General features: G+C 48.0%; 1 long non-coding RNA gene across 2 annotated transcripts, besides 1 other annotated feature; it reads right to left on the bottom strand.

Moving 5' to 3' along the window:
* Positions 1 to 304: 304 nt before the first annotated feature.
* LINC02781 (long intergenic non-protein coding RNA 2781) lies at positions 305 to 10,872 on the bottom strand. 2 transcript variants are annotated; one of them, XR_946902.2, is made up of 5 exons: positions 10,716 to 10,849; positions 9,882 to 9,968; positions 9,318 to 9,425; positions 7,172 to 7,301; positions 305 to 703 (listed from the first exon to the last, which is right to left on the bottom strand). It is a non-coding gene; the product is annotated as a long intergenic non-protein coding RNA 2781 (long non-coding RNA). The 2 variants fall into 2 exon arrangements; XR_946900.2 differs by lacking the exon at positions 305 to 703 and adding an exon at positions 2,696 to 3,782 and having other exon boundaries at positions 10,716 to 10,872.
* Positions 17,916 to 19,115: an enhancer, noted in NCBI's record as "BRD4-independent group 4 enhancer chr1:5025208-5026407 (GRCh37/hg19 assembly coordinates)". NCBI's record gives its function as "activates an origin of replication core promoter dependent on BRD2, P300/CBP, MED14 and CDK7 cofactors, and independent of BRD4, by STARR-seq in HCT116 cells {active_cell/tissue: HCT116}" and the evidence as "EXISTENCE:reporter gene assay evidence [ECO:0000049][PMID:35650434]".

The following is a 20,480-nucleotide window of genomic DNA, read 5'->3' as shown; positions in this document are numbered from 1 at the left end:
AAGCATGGCCCAATGACCTTCTCTTTTCCCCCACAAGCTTATAAGTTACTCTGCACACTGGCCAGAATCACTCATTGACCAAGCTTTTGTCAGGTTCCTCTTTGGTAGGCTTAATCCTTGACCTGCTGAGCCCATCTCTAGCAAGAATCCTGCTAAGCCAATTTAGCAAGAGTCCCCCACTTCCCCTCCTTCGAGCTCCTCTTAGTAATTTTCCATCCAGTGACTCCCTCACCGTGTGCAATGGCTATAAATCCCTTCCTAGCAGGCCCTGTTGTATCCAAGTAGAGTTCAGTCTCTCTCCTCTACTGTAATGGTCTTGACCCCTATTACAGTAGCATTGAAAAAAATCTTCCTTGCCTGTTTACCTCCATCCATTGCAAGTTTTCCTTGACAGCATCCATGACCAATAATTTCAACATGGGGAGGCAGGAGCCAACAATGGGTTTTAAAAAGCCATAAAACCAAGTGCATGAGGAAATGGGATATTATTCCTTGCACAGTGGCTGGCAGGTGGTAGCAACAACAGACAGTTCTCACTCCAAGTGTATCCATCTCCCATTCAACACTGTCGTCTCAAGGGAACCTGGAGGGTGAGTGAGTTCCTTTGTTACTGCTATTTTCTCCCCATATACAGGCAAGCAAAACACAGCAAAGCTACTGGTACTCTCTCAGCCTCCAAAAAGATTCTAACTCTGTGAAGATCCTAAAGGAGAGATAAAGATAAGCCTAAAAATTAGAAAATGTAATTCCACAACGAAGCCATTTGTAATTGTTTCATGGAAGTATTTGCTTAATTTGAACTATTAAACATAAGCATTATCTGATTATTTTCTAATGATATGTCTTTATACCTGTCATCCTACACAGTAATTAGCTATGACACGTTTAAAACCCTAAGAATATTTTGAAACTTGAAGCACCAGAAGGGAAATTGACAAGAGTCAATGTGTAAAATGAACAGGAATGCTGGCCAGAGAACACCCACCACAGCAGTGTAAAACACTGGATGTCTGCATCTTTTTGTGGCCAAAGATATGAGGCCCAGTAACACTGGAAAGCAACTACTTTTTATATCTAACTGTTGTGTATTTACCTAATACAGAATAATTCTAAAAATCTGTGTAGGGCAAGGTAAATGCTCTGAAATAATCTTGTATTAGTTTCTCTTTCTGAACTTTTCTGCGTCCTACCAGCATTTATTTCTTGCAGAGTACGTAGCACCATTCGTATGATTCAGCAACCTGAAAGGGAAATGTGTTCAGGCAACAGGTCTCTATCTAGAAAACCAAGGGTTTGGCTTAGCCCATTGCCCAAACAATTTTCTTTCTAGGCTTTTAGCTTTATGTCATTTCTCTTTACAAATACATGTTTGTATAGGAGGCAATTACAATCTTTTCTAAGTAGTTTGTGCAAGGAAAATGAATTAGTGCTTTTTTATCTCAGTGTAAATAAAATGAGCTGTAATAACCCCCAATTAGCACATTAAAATAAGTTGAAGATTTGTTTTTATCATTTCATTGTACAGAAAAAAGGCAGCAATGAGAACCTTATATTAGTGACAAAAACAGTACCAGTTGTTTGCCTTGAAGAGCAGAGAAAATGTAATTTAAAACTCTCTGCGAATCTTTGATAATTAATTTCACACCAAATGAGCCATTAGAACGTCTATAAAACATCTGATAGCTAAAAAAAAAGCCAAACCAATGATTTTCCCCCTAAACAAGAATGTCAACAATAAAAATTTAATATGCATAAAGAAATTAGGAGAGGAACAAAGCCAAGTGGAAAGTTTTGTCTTGCTTCCTTTCTTTCAAAGTTGGTGATTTAAAGAGTGAACTTGAACTTTGTCAAGTGAAGGGAATAGTCAGGACATTTTCGATGATAAAACCCACCAAAATGTAAGTGAATTATCGGAAAAATCAGTGGGTGTATTGTCTGGTGGTTTCTGTGCTTGTGTGCTTGTATGTGTGTATGATGTGCATGTTGATATGGTTTGACTGTGTCCCCACCCAAATCTCATCTTGAATTGTAGCTCCCATAATTCCTGTGTGTCATGGGAAAGATCTGGTGGGAAGTAATTGAATCATGGGGGCAGGTCTTTCCCCAGCTGTTCTCATGATAGGCAGTAAGCCTCAAGAGATCTGATGGTTTTATAAAGGGCAGTTCCCATGCACACACTCTCTTGCCTGCCGCCATGTTAGATGTGCCTTTGCTTCTCTTTTGCCTTCCGCTGGGATTGTGAGGCCTCCCCAGACATGTGGAACTGTGAGTCCATTAAACCCCTTTCCTTTATAAATAACCCAGTCTCAGGTATGTCTTTATTAGTGGCACGAGAACAGACTAATACACATATCTATCCATGCATGAAGGGTATGTGACTGCTTGTGTGGTGCTGATGTGTGATGGCACACGTGTGTAAGTGTGTGTGTGGGGGGTGTTCTGTCTGTAGTGTATTGTTAGGAAGTAGAAATAAGAAGCAGCAAAGTGTAAGTCAGAGATTTCTTTGGGTACATATCCACATGAATGAGTAAGGAATCAAAAGCAGGCAACTTGGCTGTGCCTATAGTCAATGTATTAGATGACTATATTAAGCTTAGATTATAGACACCATTTAAACCATCATTGGGTAAATTTACCCACTATAGGAAATTGTTGGTCCTAAACTATAGATCAGGCAGAGTAAACACTCCACGCTACTTACACACATGGTTTAATGTTGAACTTTTTGTTCTTCTACAAAAACTGAGACAAACTGAAATGACTTCTTAGGTTTGCTGAGAACAGCAACAATAAAGAAACCTCTGCAAAATTTGTCCAGTGGCATTTTCTTGTATAGCTATAGTCATTGGTGCAATTTCGGGTCTTGGGGTCTCACTCTTGGGCCATGTTCATATTTGGTGGATGAACCAGCAGGTGCTCGCCCCATCCGAGCTGTCTACTCACTTGCCCGAGTCCAAGCAAAAGTCCCAGGGGTTCTGGGAGGTGCTGTGATTGCTCTGGTGGAGTATGGTTGTTTCTGATAGCACTGTTCTTGCAAAGCTCTTCACTTCAGGATGCAATTGATTTTAAAGGCAAATGGCTGAGGCGTGGGAGAAAGAGCATAGGATTTGAAATGAGAAGAAGTTTATGCAAAGCTCCTTTCTGCCACTTCCTGGCTGCACATTCGAGGATGGAAGTCTCACTTTGTTGTTTCACATCAATGAGGGTTCCTTGGATGAAAGCCTTAGAAACTGACCAGCTGATTAAAGCTCTTCTGCAAAGACAGGTCATTGGAATCACAGGGGATAGAGGAATTGAAGTGGAAGTCTTAGAATAAACAGGAAATGGGAAAAGGAGGAAGAACAAACCCAGGGAACAGGAGGAAGAGCATGTAGTATTTTCACGGCGCCTCTTCCTGGGGTAATTCGTGGCTTTTTTTGTCGTTTTGTTTTGTTTTGTCTTATGCCAGTCAAAGATGAGAATTTCAGGAGGGAGAGACTGTTGGTCTTAGCTGAGCCCCCCATCCCTGCCTTACCCAAGGGAAACTGAGCCTCTTGAGTGACAGCTTGGCAAGATGTGTATATTAAGGGAGTAGCATTCTCCCCAAGGAAAACCCAGGTGCTGGTACCAAAAAGAGGGATTGGCATTCACTGCATCCACCCAGCTGCCCCTCCTCAGGGAGCTGGCACTGTCTTCTGGGTCAGTCCAATCTGTGGTCAGCTCCCAGGACTGACCTTCCTTGACCCATCAGCATCGTGTGTCCTGGCTCATCTTATCTGGCTCACTGGCTACTTCTTTCAATCCTAGGATAAAGGGGATCTATTCAGGTTCAGCCACACCTCCCCACCTTCCTGCCACCCCGAGATGGGCCCTCTAGACCATCCAAATGGGTCCCGCGCAGCTTCCCACTCCGCTCCCACCTCTGCCTCCTCCTAGTTTAATTCCAATACGGAGAGTAGATTGGGTGCCTCCACTGCTCCAAACCCTACATTTGATTCCTGAACAGTATAGAATAAAAACTCAAGGACTCACAATGGTCCATAGGACCCCACCCCACTCTTCTGACCTCCCTCCTATCTGCCTCCACCTATGCCTATGGTCTCTTTTTTCCCATTCCTGCCCCAGCCTTTCTGCCAAGGAGCCTCGATCTGCGGTGTTCTTCCCCCGATGGCCCTGCCTGCTTGGCACCCCTTGCCTTCCGCACCCTGCCCAGGGTCATGTTCCCCTTGAGGCCTTTCCTGAGTCCCACCACTTTGTTTCTTTCTACATTCACGACCACTGTCTAGTGCATTTTATTATTGTACCCATGTACTTTGCTGTCACCTCTCTCCCCATTTAGAAGTTACCTCCCTCTGGGCGTGAGGGAGCTTTGCATCGTTTTGTCTGTTTCATTCCCTGCTCTGTCCCCAAAGCCTAGAATAATAACCAGCACATGGCTAAAGGCCAGGAAACACCTATTGAACTAATGAACAAACTTGTTGAGGAAATTAATAATAGATCACAGACTAACTTAGCACAGTCTCAGGCCTAGGGTAAGCACTCAATATACGTTGGTTTATTCATCAGCTTACTAATTTAGTAAATAGAAGGAAGAGGCAGTTGGTGATTTTCATCTGCTTTACTTTATCCAAATAAATTCTGAGAGGAAATGTTTTTATGATGGACTAGTACTAAAATCTCCCCACATGTTTCATGTGGGGTCAGCCCATTCTGCCCAGTGGAGATGGGACAGCAAGATCCAGTTTGAAGCATTTGCTATCAATGGCATTGAAGTATCACTGAAGGATCTCCAGAGCCCAGCAGCCAAGAAGGAATGCAAAGAGCCCACAAACAGAGGTTACTCCTCAAAGCCACTGCCCCTTTTGAAGACAAAAAGTGGGGGATGTCACAGTGCTACAGCCGAAGACCAGGACAGCCTGAGAGAAGCACAGAGTGGTTAGTAACAAGAGGAGAGCCAGGACTTTGCTTATAAGCTTGCGCTACACCCCATCAGGATTTCCCCGGGAGCTTTTTCCTGTGCTGGGGAATAACATGAACGTGCCCATCAGTGCAAAGGGTGCAGTGAGGGCAGGAAGTTACCGTCACCTCATTAGGTTAACGAGACACAAACCTCCAGCCCCTGTGCAGTGAGATACTGGTGACCGCCCTCTGACGTCTCTCCATCCTGCCTCCCCAGGCTGTTCGGATGGGTGGGGTTCAGATTCATGCTGTTTAGGGCAGGGCAAGCACCCTGCAAGCACAGAAGGCTCTGTTTCTCTGCTACTAGAGAAACCCACACCCAGTATCTTTGCACACTGCTGTCTCTTGTTTGGGTGCCGCCAAGTGGAGGCCACGGAGACTCAGTAGCAAGATCACGTGCTCCCGGCATCTGGTCAAGCCATCAACAATATGGTGCTGTTTAACACGAGGTCGCTGCGGTGCCCCATCAACACAGTGGGACCTCGTTAAATGTCATCTTATTTTAGAACTGGAGAGGATGTAGGCACCACGGAGTTCAAGGCCCTCATTCAGAAGCAGGACATCTGAGGCCCAACTCGCCCCAGTGGCCCTGCCTGGGGCACAGAGTGTCTCACCCAGCTTGCTATGTACTGTTCCTTGGCTGACCCTGATGGTGACTGTAACTTCCTGCCCTCACTGCACCCTTTGCACTGATGGGCACATTTGTATTATTCCCCAGCACAGGAAAAAGCTCCCGGGGAAGTCTTGATGGGGTGCATTGCAAGCTTATATGCAAAGTCCTGGCTCTCCTCCTGTTATTAACCACTCCCTGCTTCTCCCAGGACCTCTTGGTCTTCAGCTGTGGTGCTGTGACATTCCCCGCTTTTTGTCTTCAAAAGGGGCAGTGGCTTTGAAGAGTAACCTCTGTTTGTGGGCTTTTTGCATGAAACCTAACCCCACTGGCACCCAGAAAAGCAGCAGAAATACTGACCCAGGGAGTCAGTTTGTGCACCTCCATTCCTGCCTCTGTTGAATGGTAGTAGCCTTGGTCTCACAGGGGCACTTTCAGTAGAAAAGAGAAAGGGCATCTTTTCACCCACAGGCATTGACGAGGCCCCTGTCCTTCTAAACGTATCATGTGGAGATGATTCTGGGGCCAAAACCACTGGTAGGAATCCCAACTTCACTGCTTTCTTGTGCTGGTCAGATGATTTAACCTCCGGAATAACAAGACCCACTTTTGTTGAGCCCACTGTAGGTCCTCCCAAGTCCTCACTGCTTTCTTTCTGTGTCCTGACCGAGTAGCCCAGATTGCCTTGACTGCTCTGTGACCCGGCCAGCTGCAGGCTTTCTCCTACAGGCTTGAACCCAAGCTGAACTCTGGAACATTCCCAGGCACTGATAAAGTCGTTCAGGTTGTTGCTTGCAGCAGTCAGTGAGAGACCACGTTGCTAAACATGTAGAAACCAGTCCGACCTTGAGCCAAGTTCCCTAAACCCTCAAACGCCAGACCGTGACCTCATCATGGACATACGTGGGCAAAACATCCCTTTCCTTGCTTTCTGTCACGGGGCTTCAGCCGCTGTATGTAAATTCCCCCGGTAAATGCTTTACAGCAAGGACCCCAGCAATTGTTTCTTCTCCCTCTGGAATTCCAGCCAGCCCCATCTCAGAACAGTTTGGGGCTGTCTCTTGCAGGAACTCCCCTGCTGTCAATTTTGGAGTGACTCTCGCCATGGGTTTGGCCAGACAGAGCACCCTTGCAAGGCATGGGTTACCTCACTGAACGCTCACAGCAACCCCAGGGCATGGATAATCCCAGCAGGGTATCCCCATTTTACAGGCAAAGGAGAGGAGGCTCATCAGAAAGGTCTCACAGCCAGGAACTTGTGGAAGCAGCTGCCTCCCTGGTCTGCCTGCTCTGCCCACTGGGTTCTAAAGCCTTGCAGATTCATGAGGACTCAGTAACATGGGGTAGGAAGAGTGTGCACTGCCCAGGGAGTGCTGAAGGTGCAAGGAGATAATACACTTGGGATTCACTGGAGCCCCACACCCCACAGCTCAGAACAAGGCCGCTGGAATTGCCGATTCCTGTGGTGTGGGAGGGGGCCCTGGCTCCAGTCGGACACTGCCCCCAGGTTTAGTTAGTCTGTGTCTAAGAGAAGAAGAGGTCAATACATTGGGAAGGAAATGTCGGGAGGGCCCCACTCCAGGCCCCACCCCTTGGGCCTTTCATCTCCGATTCCATCCTCACCTCCGTCTATCTCTCGTGCCGCCCCACGTGCGTCTTCCTCCTGGGTGGAAACGCGGCAGCTGGGGTGACTTGCAGAGGCTCTCGCTTGCGTTCCTGGGCTCCTCCTGGGATAGGGAGAAGGGTCTTCAGGCTGGAAATTAGAATAAGGAGACGTTCTCCCTTGAATTTAATTGCATCTCTGTCAGTAATTCAGCAACCATCATTTGCACACACATTTCTGAAAGGCTTTTCAAGGAATTTCAAACCCGCCATTTAAAATTCTCATTATGGTAGGAAATGGTCCCTTTGGGGCCCAACAGTTTTCTCTTTGGTCTCACGGTCCCTGGAGGTACGGATTTCAATTTAGAGTTTTCCACGTGGAAACTGAAGGAGCTAAGGCTCGCACATGACTCCCCCACCCCCTACCCCCGCCCTGAGCAAACACACTCGTTTCCAAGTCAGATGAGCAGCGAGAGAAAACATTCATCAAACTTCAGTAGTGTAATGGGTCTTCGCTGCTGGAATTAAATGCAACAGGTAGATAGGATTATGTTTAATGCGTATTTACTGGTCGATCTCTCAATTTGCTGAAGAACGTTAGTAACAATTGGTAACAAACGTTCCGTTGATTTATATGAGTGCATACAAACCCGGAAGAGCCCCACATCTCCCCCGAACCATGCCTGCATCTCTTGGGAGACTCTCACTTTCAAATAATCTTGTTAGATATTGTTAGAAACTGATAGATTTGCATACCGCGAATGTTAAAATTCAGAAAATACTCAACCGCCAATTACAGCCACCACGTCTTTCCCTAATTAATCAGTCAGGAAAGAGCAGCTCCAGGTGCTTTTCCTGAGCTGAGCATCCGCCAAAGCCTTTGTCTTTATTAATCTTGATGACCCACCAGTCAGCATAGGCAGGTCCCTCCGAGATGACGGAAAAGCGGGAACACCTCGGGGACTCACACCTGTGCCAAGTGATGAATCCTCCCGACACCTGATTAGATGATTCCCAGTTCTGTCTACTTCTGGACATGATAAACATCAGAGACTGCTCAGGGACAAAGCTAGCACCCCTGAGGCTCTGGATGGTGCAATTCCTAATCCAGTGAATTTCGTTCTATGCCTCCTTCAGGAGGTGCTCCTCATGAGCACCTGTCCCATGCCCTGCCCTGCAGACTAAGGGACAGTGGAAAGCTGTGGAGCAGAGCCCCCTCTGTGAATTGAATGAGCGTCCCTCAATGAACAAGCCTGCTCATGTGGAACACAGGGACAGTGGTGCCTGTCAAGCTCAGAATGGGTGGGGCAAACTTGGTGAGAGGGAAACCTAGAAGAAAGAGCAAACAAATTGTCCCGTACCCAAGCGCTCTAAGAAATGAAGCTGGTAAAACAGCACAGCTCAGAAGGGGCAAAGAGAGTGTTTGTAGACTTCAGTGCTCTGGAGAACGTTGAACATTCTCATGTCTAAAAGCGGGGTGAAATTTATGCTCAAGGCCACGAGGGACAGGTGTTCCCAGCACAGACTGCTATATATTCATGAAGCTGATTTCCACATGCGCCCAGGAGGGCTCCAGGACTCCAGCCCTGGCTCACAGCTGTCCACTGCCTCCCTAGGTCAGCCACCAGCAAGAGCAAGGCCTTGTAACTAAAGGGCCCTCTGGGCCTCCTCCCAGTCTACAAGCCTGGTGCATCGCTCCAAGCCCCTACTTTGAGGTGCCTCTTTTGACTTCCTTTTGCAGGTAGAGACTCTCTCTAGGGGCAGTTCCACATTCCAGCCAGGTCTGATGCTTGGAACTCTGGTCCAGGCTTAATTTGTCTGTTTTTGGAAGAGGAGTGTTGAGCAGATGGACTAATTGGTCACTGCTTCCCAGAGACCCGGATAATAAATGAGCTGTCCCCCTCAGCTAAGCATTCGGCTGGCAGGCCCGGCAACCCATTCTCAGCTCCCACCAGCACCACAATGAGTGATTCCAGCCCCGGAGTGCGCCGGTTTGGAGAGTTTCAAGTTCATTAAGAGTTTAAATAAATCCATTCATTTCGGTTTACCTTAAAGAGTTTTCTGTAATCACCTTCATTACATGTTTAAATAGGGTTAGGGAGGGTAGTAATTAGAAAAAAATTTGCTTCAGCAGGGGGCACTTTGCAGCTCTACACAAATATGTTACCTTGTCACAGTCCCTATGATCTGGAACCAACTCAGGCCCAAGCCTCAGCCCCTGTGTAAATCACAGCCCACGAGGCGCAGCTCCAGGGAGCTCCGGACGGAAGGGCGTCTGTAGAAAGAGAGCGTTTCTGCTTTGGCTTCCCGGGTCTTTTTTTTTTTTTTTTTTTTTTTTGAGACGGAGTCTTGCTCTGTCACCCAGGCTGGAGTGCAGTGGCGAGATCTTGGCTCACTGCAAGCTCCGCCTCCCAGGTTCACGCCAGTCTCCTTCCTCAGCCTCCCGAGTAGCTGGAACTACAGGTGCCCGCCACCACACCCAGCTAATTTTTTGTATTTTTAGTAAAGACGGGTTTCACCATGTTAGCCAGGATGGTCTCCATCTCCTGACCTCGTGATCCGCCCGCCTCAGCCTCCCAAAGTGCTGGGATTAAAGGCGTGAGCCACCGCGCCCGGATGCCGGGTCATGTGTTTTTAAAGGGAGCTTCACTTTCCACACTGGTCCCAAAAATCCCAATATCTTTGTCTAGTATCATCTCTGTGTTTACTGCATCCCAAGCCCACTCCATACCCATAAAGCTTTGGAATTCGGCTCAAAAGCTTCAGTTAGGATTTCCGATGATGGATGAAGACGCGAGATAATTGCTCCATACTTGGCCTATCCCCGGGAAGACACAGTCAATAATAGTATAATGTGGTTAGTTTAGACATTTCATTAAATAGAATATCATCAATGGAATCCAGGGTAAAGCATGTTTCTGCAATATCATAATGGATAAGGCTTGGTTTTAAATGTACTGCAATAAAAACCTACATGTCATGAATTTTGCTGTGGAAACAGACTCTTATTAGTTTAGGCTTCCTAGGCATTGAATAATTTGTGTCATAAACTAGTTTCTAATAAAATCTGCAAATAAAATTTCAAATGGGGAATGCCTGTTGGGCACAGTGGAAATTTCCTGAGCTTCTTGCTTTGGGGGGTTTAACTTTTGGTTTCCCCAGGAATGCCTTGAGATTCTTTGATTTCCTTTCAACTAGAAAGGAAAAAGCCTCGGAGGTGACCACAGGAAGCTCCCTGGGATGCAGGTCCCTGGGCCACAAGATCTCAGCTTGGTGGCGGGGTCAGCACCCTGTGGAGCAGGGGTCCTCTGGATCACACCTGGCTCCTGCTGATGGTTAATGCCTGCCCATCATTTTCTGACACTGCCAAGGTGTGAGTCCACCTGCTCTAGTTTACTAACCCTTGGTGTGTGCATTGGCGCCTGGCACCTCAGGACTAAGCCAGGCTGTCTGTCCATGAGCCTGGTTTTGTGCCTTTTCGGGGGGGAGACCTCACCAGATTCCCAGCTGCCTTAGGCGCTTGCTCTATGCCAGTATTGTCACCTGGGCGCACCTCTGGGCCTACCTTCGGGAAAGGCTCCACCTGTGTGTCTTGGGAGTTCTCCCAGGCAGCCCCACCAATGAGCCTTTCCCTGTGCAGAGTCCCTTCTGGTAAGTCTCAGTGAGGGAAAGGGGGGCTGTGATCACTGCGGTCCAGAATCGTCCCGTTGAAATGGAGATAAGTGGCCACGAAGTGCGGGCACTGGCTCCTATTGCTGCTGATCACTGTCACTGCATTATTTTATCATAAAGGAAAGTGTGACTCGAAAGGCCTGGGGGTGGGGAGGCCAGGGATGAGAAGAAGAAGGCTGGCACCCCACTAGGGAAGAGTTTGATGGGGGATTCTCATCTGGGCACCACACAGTTTATAGGAACCCAGGGCGGACTTGCCTGGATCCCGAATGGGCTGTGGGGACTCTGGGGACAGGTCAAGAGCACACAACTGTCCTGGAGAAGGACACAGAGGGTAAGAAGCAGCATGGGGCCTGGGTCAAGCCTGTGCTGGGGCTGGGAGGAGTTCCCCAGAGGAGGGAGGGATGCCACAGCCTCGCACCGACCACTGCTCCGAGTTTAACTTTCCTTACACACCTTCTCCTTCTGGTGAGACCCACGGGGATACAGCCAGAGGCTCCAGGCGAGGCGGGTGGGCCTGGGGTGGGTGCTCTGTGACGGTCACATGCACATGGAGGACAAGATGAACAATAATCTTGCATCGGTTTGGTTTGTTTGTTTGTTAGTGAGACAGGGTCTCACTCTGTCACCTAGGCTGGGTGCAGTGGCACGATTACAGCTGACTGCAGCCTGCCTTAAACTCCTGGGCCCAAGTGATCCTCCCACCTCAGCCTCTTGAGTATCCGGGACTACAGGAGCATGTCACCATGCACAGCTAATTTTTTGTTTTTTGTAGAGAAAGGGTCTCACTATGTTGCCCAGGCTAGTCTTGAACTCCTAGGCTCAAGGGCTCCTCCCACCTCAGCCTGCCAAAGCACTGGGAGAACAGATGTGAGCCTCCACACCCAGCCTGGTTTGGAATGTTTTTAAAAGATTTTGAAAATCTGTTATTTTCACCTTTTGCACACTCCCGCCCCACCACCCTTCCCTGAATTTTGATTAAAATTCATGCCTCAGCATCGCTGCTCTGGTCAGGTAAAAGATGGGAGGCTGTGCCAAAGAGAACGACGGCTTGCCCAAGACTGGCAATTCCCATGATTTAGGGTGATTACGGCTCAGCTGTAATGAATGCATATTAAGCCTTCCTTCAGAGCCTACAGAACTTTTGATTCATAAACAAATTACTCCGAGCCTATAATGCAGGAGAAAGAAATAGCAGCTAATTTAACCAGTGAATCAATGGTAAGACAGAACAATATAGATCATGGAATTTGAAGTACTGTATAATGGAGAAAATGAAAGTAATAACAAGAAGCAGAAAGACTCATAAGGGCAGCCCAGGCCCACAGGCCCCAGCACTGGACTCCAGGCCCTGGGCTGCAGTAAGACATCCGTGAATTCGGTCCTGCAATGAATCCTGACTTTGTTCTGGAAGGTGTTAACAGAAAGACAAGCTGTGCTTAGTGTGGCCTCCACACCAATAGGATGCCTTCCCATTGAACAAGAAACCTAGCCAGCCCTAAGCAGGAGAGGCTCAGTTCATGCCTGCTGCCCCAGGGAGGCACGGAGGTGTCCCAGAAGAAGCATGCACTGTGGCATCAGCCAGATGGATGTGTGGATCCAGGCTCCCTTGCTGTCACTGTGGGACCATGGACAAATAACCGGACCCTCTGAGCCTCAGTTTCCCTCCCTGGAGAATGGAGATAATACCTACAAAATCAAGTACATCATGGCTTATAAATTTGAGGCAGCTCAACACAGTGTTAAGAGCAAAGTCTGTGGACCACCTGGACAGCCTTAGGCAAGTAGCAAAGACCTCACTTTGCCTCAGTGCCCCAGCTGCAAAATGGGTTGATGTGAAGGTTAAATACTAGGTAATACCAGTCGAGGCTAAGCGCGGTGCACAGTGAGCCCACACAAATGCTCCTGTTTCCTCATAAACGTGCCCTAAGGATCTAAATGTGATGCTCTAGGTGCCCAGTTTGGTTCCAGACTTGCTCATATAGAGCCCAGCATAGAGGCTACCTTTTTCTTCCCCACAAGTCCAGGATCCTGGATCGCAACTCCGGGTGGGGGGACGTGAACCCCCACGTGAATAGCCTTTTCTTGGGGCAATTCTCATTCTCCCATTTTAGATGTTCCCGGGCTATTACTTTAAGGAACTCTTTGAATCTATGCTTGTGTCCATGGTTCTGGGGGAAAGTTTGAAGTAGTGTTTCCCAGAACGCATCCCATAGTGCAGGAGTCCCCTGAGGTGACGTGCAGGGGGGAAGGAAGGGCTCCCTCCCCAGCGGTGCTCCCCAGTGTCCCTCCAATGCTCACATGGCCCCACTGGAGACATGCTACTTTGCTTGAAGCCATTTATCTCTCCTTGAAAGATGAGCAAGAATTTCACCCCATCTCCTCCCCTCTGCAGAATTGTATGCTAAAATTTCTTTTGTGTATGCCTGTATTTCTTCTTTCCAGCACTGTGCCACCACCTAATTTCACTGCTTTGAGCCTGAACTGTACCTCAGCCTGCTTGGCTTGGACAGCCTGTGTCTTCTGACTCAGAACCTGTCTCATCCTGGCTTGACTCATCAAGCTTCTTCTCATCTCAGAAGAGGGGGGACAACAACAAAACAGAGCTCACTTCTGGCAATAATATGCAAATGCTCGCACACCAAAAATAGTTTACACAATTCAAGAGGGCACACAAAAATGTTCCATCACATTTGCTCAACCTCTAAATCAAAATTTTATGATGCCAAGGAGTTTGCTCAGTCACCAGTCTGGTGATTTTTATGGGATTCGTTTTTCTGAAGGGAAAGAGGGAGGTGAAATAGGAGTCATTAGCCAGGCCGTTTCAGAGGATAAACACACAGACCCAAAATAGGAAATGCAAATAGTTTAAAGGCAGTGACACCAATTTGAAGCAATCAAGTAGACAATAATACAGCATAGCCACTCTTTCTCAATGTCAACCATGTCAGGAGGGCCTACAGAAGGGGGGGGCAGGCCTGCTGGGACTCCCTGCCAGGACCCTGGGTTTTATGGGGTTGCACAGTTGTAGTTTCTGGAGGAGGTCCCTGTAGGAGCCTGGAGAACAATAACTCCTGAGATGCAGGAGGAAGCCTTGGGGATGTTCCTCTCCAACAAGGAAAGCAAAGGGAACCATGAAGGTATCTGTGAAAGAACTGTGGGTGATGCATGTTGCCAAACGTCTCATCTTGTGTTGGTTCTGGACACCCCACACGCTCTGTCATGGGGCCTTTGAGTTCCTGGGCAATTGGAACACAACCTCAAGCCCTGCCAGGGAGGGAGACTCCAGTACTCCTCAGCCCCAGACACCATGCAGGCAGGCATCTAAGGTGGGTGCATTGATGGCACCCAGGTCAGGCTCAATGGTAGATCTGACCAAAGATCTGCAGAACTAGACAGTCAGCAGGTGTCCGAAGGGGTGGCATGGCCTCCAGTATCTGGATTTGTGTCTGATCCTGTGGGTTTCTCATCTACATGAGTGCATGGGTGACACTGGGAAGTTCCTTGAGCCCTAGAGTAGCAGCATCAGAAAACGCATCAGTGGGCCATCCCAGCAGCCTTCTTGTTGGAAAACACTGGCTCTAGCTGTCTGGTCGGCTAGGAGCTGTGGCCCCATCTTCAAGCATGACCCCTCTAGGAAGTCTCCCTGGACCCCCAACCCCAGCTTGGGGAGACCCCATCCTCTTGCCTCTCCTCTTGCCTCCAGGCCTTTGCAGAAGCTCTTGGACCTTCTGATCCGCTGGTTCCCCAGCCTCCCCATGACCTCCCTGAAGACAAGCATGGTGGCTGCCATCAGCAAATTTCTCCTAAGCTCTGAGCCAGGCTGATGCTTGAGTGGGAACTTGGTTGAATGAATGATGAAATGAATAAAAGGATGAATACATTAACTTGAAGCCCTTAGATGAAAGGTTTTCTCAGTAAAGGTCCTCTGCACTAGGACTGGTAACGTCAACTGTGTACTCAATACTTTCCATGTAGTTAACAAGAGGCATCCCCATTGAGCCTGCTGTGTAACCTGAGCTTCTCAAACTCCTCACAGGATCTGTATTAATTAATTGCTATGCACCCACTTAGGGGTGGGACTTACCATTATCCCCACTGTAGATCCCTGAGGACCTGGGCTCAGAGAGGCTATGCCTGGTCACAAATGGAAATTGAGTCCTCCTAATTCTGATTACTGCACTCTGCCTTCCCTGCCCTCCCCTCCCCTCCCTTCTCCTCCCCTCCCTTCCCCTCCCCTCCCTCCCCTCCCTTCCCCTCCCCTCCCTTCCCCTCCACTCCCTTTCCATTCCCTTCCCTTCCCAGGAGGAGAGTCTGGGCAAGCCCTGCCTTCTGAAGCTCAAATGCTTTGCAGGAGAAAAGAAGGAAAGTGACTCCAGTTGAAGATGAGGGGCTCAGGGGTTGAGCAACCCTCACTCAAGTAAAGGGAGAGAAGCAAGAAGCCCAACAGGAAGTCAGCTTACACCCAACAGGACAGTTCCTGCTAAGACCCGGCTTCCTCCTCATGGCCATCCATTCATTCATTCACTCACTCATTCTTTCATGTAACAATTATGAGCTCTGTGTTAGTCAAGGTTCTCCAGAGAAAGAGAATCAACAGGATTTACATGCCTATGGAGAGACTTACTGTAATGGGCTCATGTGATTATCGTGGCTGATGAGGAAGGAAAATAAAACTTGGGACCCCAAAATCACTAAGTCAAGGGGAAGTCAAACTGGGAACTTCAGCAGGCAAACCCACCTCCCAATCTATTCCTGAATAAGATGGCTATGAAGATAAAAAAGATACACACCTCCCTCACAATCTGCCCATGTATCAATCCATTCTCCTACTGCTATGAAGAAATACCTGAGACTGGGTAATTTATAATTTATTGGACTCACAGTTCCACATGGCTGGGGATGCCTCGCAATCACGGCAAAGGCAGAAGAGCAAAGGCACACCTTACATGGTGGCAGGCAAGAGAGCATGTGCAGGGGAGCTGTCCTTTGTAAAAACCATCAGATCTCATGAGACTTATTCACTATCATGAGAAAAGCATGGGAAAAACTTGCCCCCATGATTCAATTACCTCCCACCAGGTACCTCCCATGATACATGCGGATTACGGGAGCTACAATTAAAGATTAGATTTGGGTGGGGACACAGTCAAACCATAACAGCCCACAAGGAAATTCCTAGTGGACAAAGGACAGACAGAACTCAAAGTCATCCCTCTGCTCACCTGTGACAGACATGTATCTGATTGTTTCCTCTGCCCTATTGTTTCACTGAGCCAGACTAAGGCCTACATGACTATTTGTCTAACCCCCACTCACATGGAAATTGTGTCTTCAGTGAAAGGCTGATCAGAGACTCAAAAGAATGCAACTGTTCATCTCTCATCTACCTACAACCTGGAAATGCTCTCCCCACTTTGAGTTGTCCAGCCCTTCCGGACCAAACCAATGGACATCTTACAGGTATTGACTGATGTCTCATGTCTCCCTAAAATGTATAAAGCCAGCTGTGCCCCGACCACCTTGGACACATGTCATCAGGACCTTGTATGGTTGTGTCACAGGTGTGTCTTTAACCTCAGCAAAATAAACTTTTGAAATTGATTGAAATCTGTCTCAGATACTTTTGGCTTAACACTGTCAAGGCCCAAATCTGCAGGGTGGGCAGGCAGGCTGGAGGCTGGGGAAGAAGCCCAAGCTGCAGGAAAAGTCCAAAAGTGCCTGTGGCTTCATTGCCCCTGCTTGGAGGCCAGTCTTTTCCTTGTAGGGTCTTCACCTGATTGGGTGAAGCCCACCTGCATCATGAAGGGCCACCTGTTTCCCCGAAATCTGCTGATGTCAATGTTAATCTCATCCACAAACGCCTTTGTGAAAACATCCAGAATAATGCTTGACCACATATCCGGGCACCGTGGCCCAGCTAAGCTGACACGCTAAATGAACCATCACAAGCTCCTGTTCTAAAGGCTTGGGATGTTGTCACAAACAAACGGAACTTACTTGGCAGCATTGAAGATAAATGATGAACAATAAGCAGTTTCATATGTCGGGCAGTGATGGCTGCCATGGAGAAGAGGCATAGCAAGGTGAGATGGTACCTGCAGTGTGTGAGTGGGAAGGGGTCATCGTAAACGGGGTAGTCAGAGTCAGCTTCCTGGAAAAGGCTGGTGTGAGCAGAGAGTGCAGGGGCCAACCAAGTGAGCCAGGAGGCATTCAGGAAAGGACTTTCAGGGTAAGGGGACAACCATGGGGGGTGCCTGGAGGAGCAGCAGAGGCCGGGGTGGGGGCAGCTGGAGCAGAGGGAGCAGGGGAGAGCAGTGGGAATGGAGGTTGGGGAAGTCAGTGAGACCAGCTCCAGGATGGTTGGAAGCCTTCTCAGTGTGAGAATTACGGTGATTACAATGATGTGGTTATTACATTAGACATAGCATGGACTCAAGAGTCGGATGAATTCCAGCTCAGTCCCCAGCTTCTCCACGTCCTAGCTGCGTGGACATCAGCCCATCAGTGAGTGTCTTTCTGCCTGGGTTTCCTTACCTGCAAAATCAGATGCTTATAGTACCCACCTTGGAGGGTGGCCGTGAGAAGAAACACAGTTGCCCAGCTGCAATGTCACAAGCCCAGTGGGTGAAGGTGCTTTCATCTTTGCTCCTTTGATCTTCCTCTAAGGGACTTTGGGTGTCTTCCAACATTCAGTTGGAACTGTGTTTAAACAATACATTTTAAACCCCAAGTGTCCTTCCCTACTTGCCATGCCATGATGTATCGGGAACTACTAATGCTGGGTGCACGCGTGCTTCGGCAGATCTTATAGTCATCCTTCTTCTGCCTGTGCCTGCACTTGAACTGTATGTCCACCATCACTGGTCACTGATTAGGAAAGGTGCAGCTGCACAGCCAAGATGGTGCATGTGTGCTCAGTCACACAGAATTGTAAATATTCTCCAACCCACCGTGGGATGCTGCCTGCAGCCACCCTCCTACCCTGTACAGGGGAGCTGGAAGGCAAGATCCAGAAGTCCAGGGAGCACAGCTGCCAAGAACAGCAACAACGACCTTAAGGCAGGTGCAAGGGTGGTGATCCACCGTAGATCGTCTAGAACTTCCTGTCAATTTGGGTGCTTCTGACTTGACTTTTAAAAAATTTTAATTTCTGTTGCCTATTATTTTTAGTGGCTCAATTTTAAAACCCATATCTCCTGCTCTTCTTCTTTAAAGTTTCTGGGTCAGTCTAAATGAAGAGTATCTTGAGGACAAGACGCTAAAAAAAGTTATCATTGGCAACTTATCTACATGAATCAAAATTTTCACATTTTTTCTGCCACCAAAATATTGGAAACTATGATTAGTATAAGTGTGCTTTTTTTTCATGTACAACTCTCAGTTTCAATTTTGGTTCTCCTCATTCTCCTTTTTAGCTAGTTTTGCTTTAAGATAATTAAATGTAATAACTTTAGACTTGTAAAATAAACGTCTACTGATATAATACCAGCTTACTCTGTTGTCTCCGTGTGAGATTTCCTCCAGGCTCTGCTGGGTGAAAAGCAGTTTGACACGCACATTGCTTGTGCTTTCCTGACAGGCAGCTCTTTTGTTCCTCCAATTCCCAGTTATCCTTTTCTTAAAGAGGTACTTCTTGTTTGTTTGTTTTTCTTTGACTTGAAGGAAGTGGAATTCCTGTATTAGCAATGAAAATGAGAAAGAATCCCAGGGCAGCCAGAGCTGTCTTTGAGTTTGTGGCACTTAGACTGTTTCCCCTGGCTAGTTCCTCCCTCTGTGCCTGAGCTGAGGGAGTCTGGAATCACAGAAATTAGGGTGTGCAGGCAGAAGGTTACAGTCATTCTCGAAGATTAGAAAACCCAGACTCAGCAATGGGGGCACTCACCTGGGCAGCATAGGTAGGTGTAATAGCTACAGGGCTGGGCCCCTCGCTGTCCACTGTGGTCACTGGTTGATTGACTGGGCCTCTGGGGCACAATCAAAGGGGTGTCCAGATGACAAAAGACAGGGAGCAAATTCCCTTCCTGTTGACTCATCCAAACTGCAGAGGTGATCAGCAGAGAAATGTGGGTTGGTGATAAAAGGAAGAAAAGAATCAATAATAATAAATGATAGTGATGATTATCTGTATTGGTCTTGACAACGAAAATGGCCCCTATCACTTCCCTAGTGCTTGTTATATTCCAGGTGATGTGACCAGCCAGGCAGTGCTCACCCTCCATCCCCAACCCACCCAAGTGCCCCGCGCCCGCTTCTCGGATGAGAAGGGGGTTGCTGGGGGAGGGGTCTGAGACCTCACAGCCTCCAAGGTCCCAGGCTGGTCCCCGGCGTGAGGAGGGAAACTGCAGATGTGGATTTGACCAATTGAATCCTGACCTCCCAGAGCTCAGGAAAATGCTCTCTGGAGGAGGACTCTGTGTGACAATGCCCATCTCCCGGTATCTCTTGGTGCCTCGAGGAAACTGTTTGCTCTTCTGTGAACAGAATCCAGGCCAAGGAAGTAAAGGGAGAACGGCAGCCCCTCCTGAGGCTGTGATTAAGGACTTCATGGAGAGAAACACATCGCTCCTGGGACACCAGCCCTGAGGAAGCACCAGCTCTGGGACCTGCAGGGCTCCACTTGACCTCTTCTGCTTAATTCCAGGGTGACCTTCAGAGAGTGGACTCCAAGCAGGAGCTCACAGCAAGAGCTCCAAGCACCGCTAATGGTTCACCCCCTGGAAACCGTCTCTGTTTAGACCTGGGCTTCTAATAAATTAATTTTAAGATGGCAGTACAAGTTTGAAGAGGGCACCTTAGAAGGCATTTGCAGCCATGAAGGTTGACTCCGTGGTACATGTAACATTACGTGAGCTGGAGGACAGCCTGACTCCTCTTTACCTTTCAGCTGGATAATAGGAGCTAACATTCATCTTTCCAAGTAAGAGGACCAAGTGTGCTCCCAATGGTAGGAATTCCACAGACAGCAGCAGTGTGCAGCCCACGGCGTGAATTCAGGTGTCCAATATCACCTTCAGAAGCATGTGAGTGAAGGGATGGACATGAATGTGAGAGAGAGAGAGAGAGAAAGAGAGAGAAAGAAAGAGAAAGAGACAGACAGAGAGAGAAGAGGGAGCGAGAGAGAGAGATTGAGATTCACCCCTGTTATGGAAAATGTCTAGAATAGAGTTTCCCAATGCCTTATTTTTGTCTGACATTTCAAAAAGATTAGTGTGTGGGTGTCAGGTATTAATATTGATCTTCATTCATTCCTTTGGGTAAACAGCTGCTTGAACACAGCACCACTTGATTTCTTTAATTTAGAAATAGAAGGAGAAGGAAATTGCCTTTCTTTTTGTTTTGACTTGATAGCTGGAAGGGTCCTGGCTTAAGCGGGTGAGTCCATGGCAGCTGAAGCTGTCCTGAAGACATATTCATGAGTCCAACTGGCAACCCTCTTCTCTGCGATGGCTCCATGATGTTCGTCTCAGTTTCTTCAGAGGTAAAACGAATAGCCTGGGAGATGGCTCAGGTTCATAGCTCCAGCCAGAGGGTATCTTCTGCAAAACAGCCCCCAGCTGACAGGACCCCAGAAAATGTGCTGCTACATTCCAGCTTTGTGGGTGTCCCTGGCCATGGTATAGGGCAAATAATCTCTCCAGCTGCCCTCTGGGTCCTC

The sequence above is a fragment of the Homo sapiens genome, chromosome 1, assembly GCF_000001405.40.
Source record: "Homo sapiens chromosome 1, GRCh38.p14 Primary Assembly".
Classification (NCBI taxonomy): domain Eukaryota; kingdom Metazoa; phylum Chordata; class Mammalia; order Primates; family Hominidae; genus Homo; species Homo sapiens.
The sequence above is the reverse complement of the archived record's forward strand: the minus strand, read 5'-3'. Positions and strand labels throughout refer to the sequence as shown.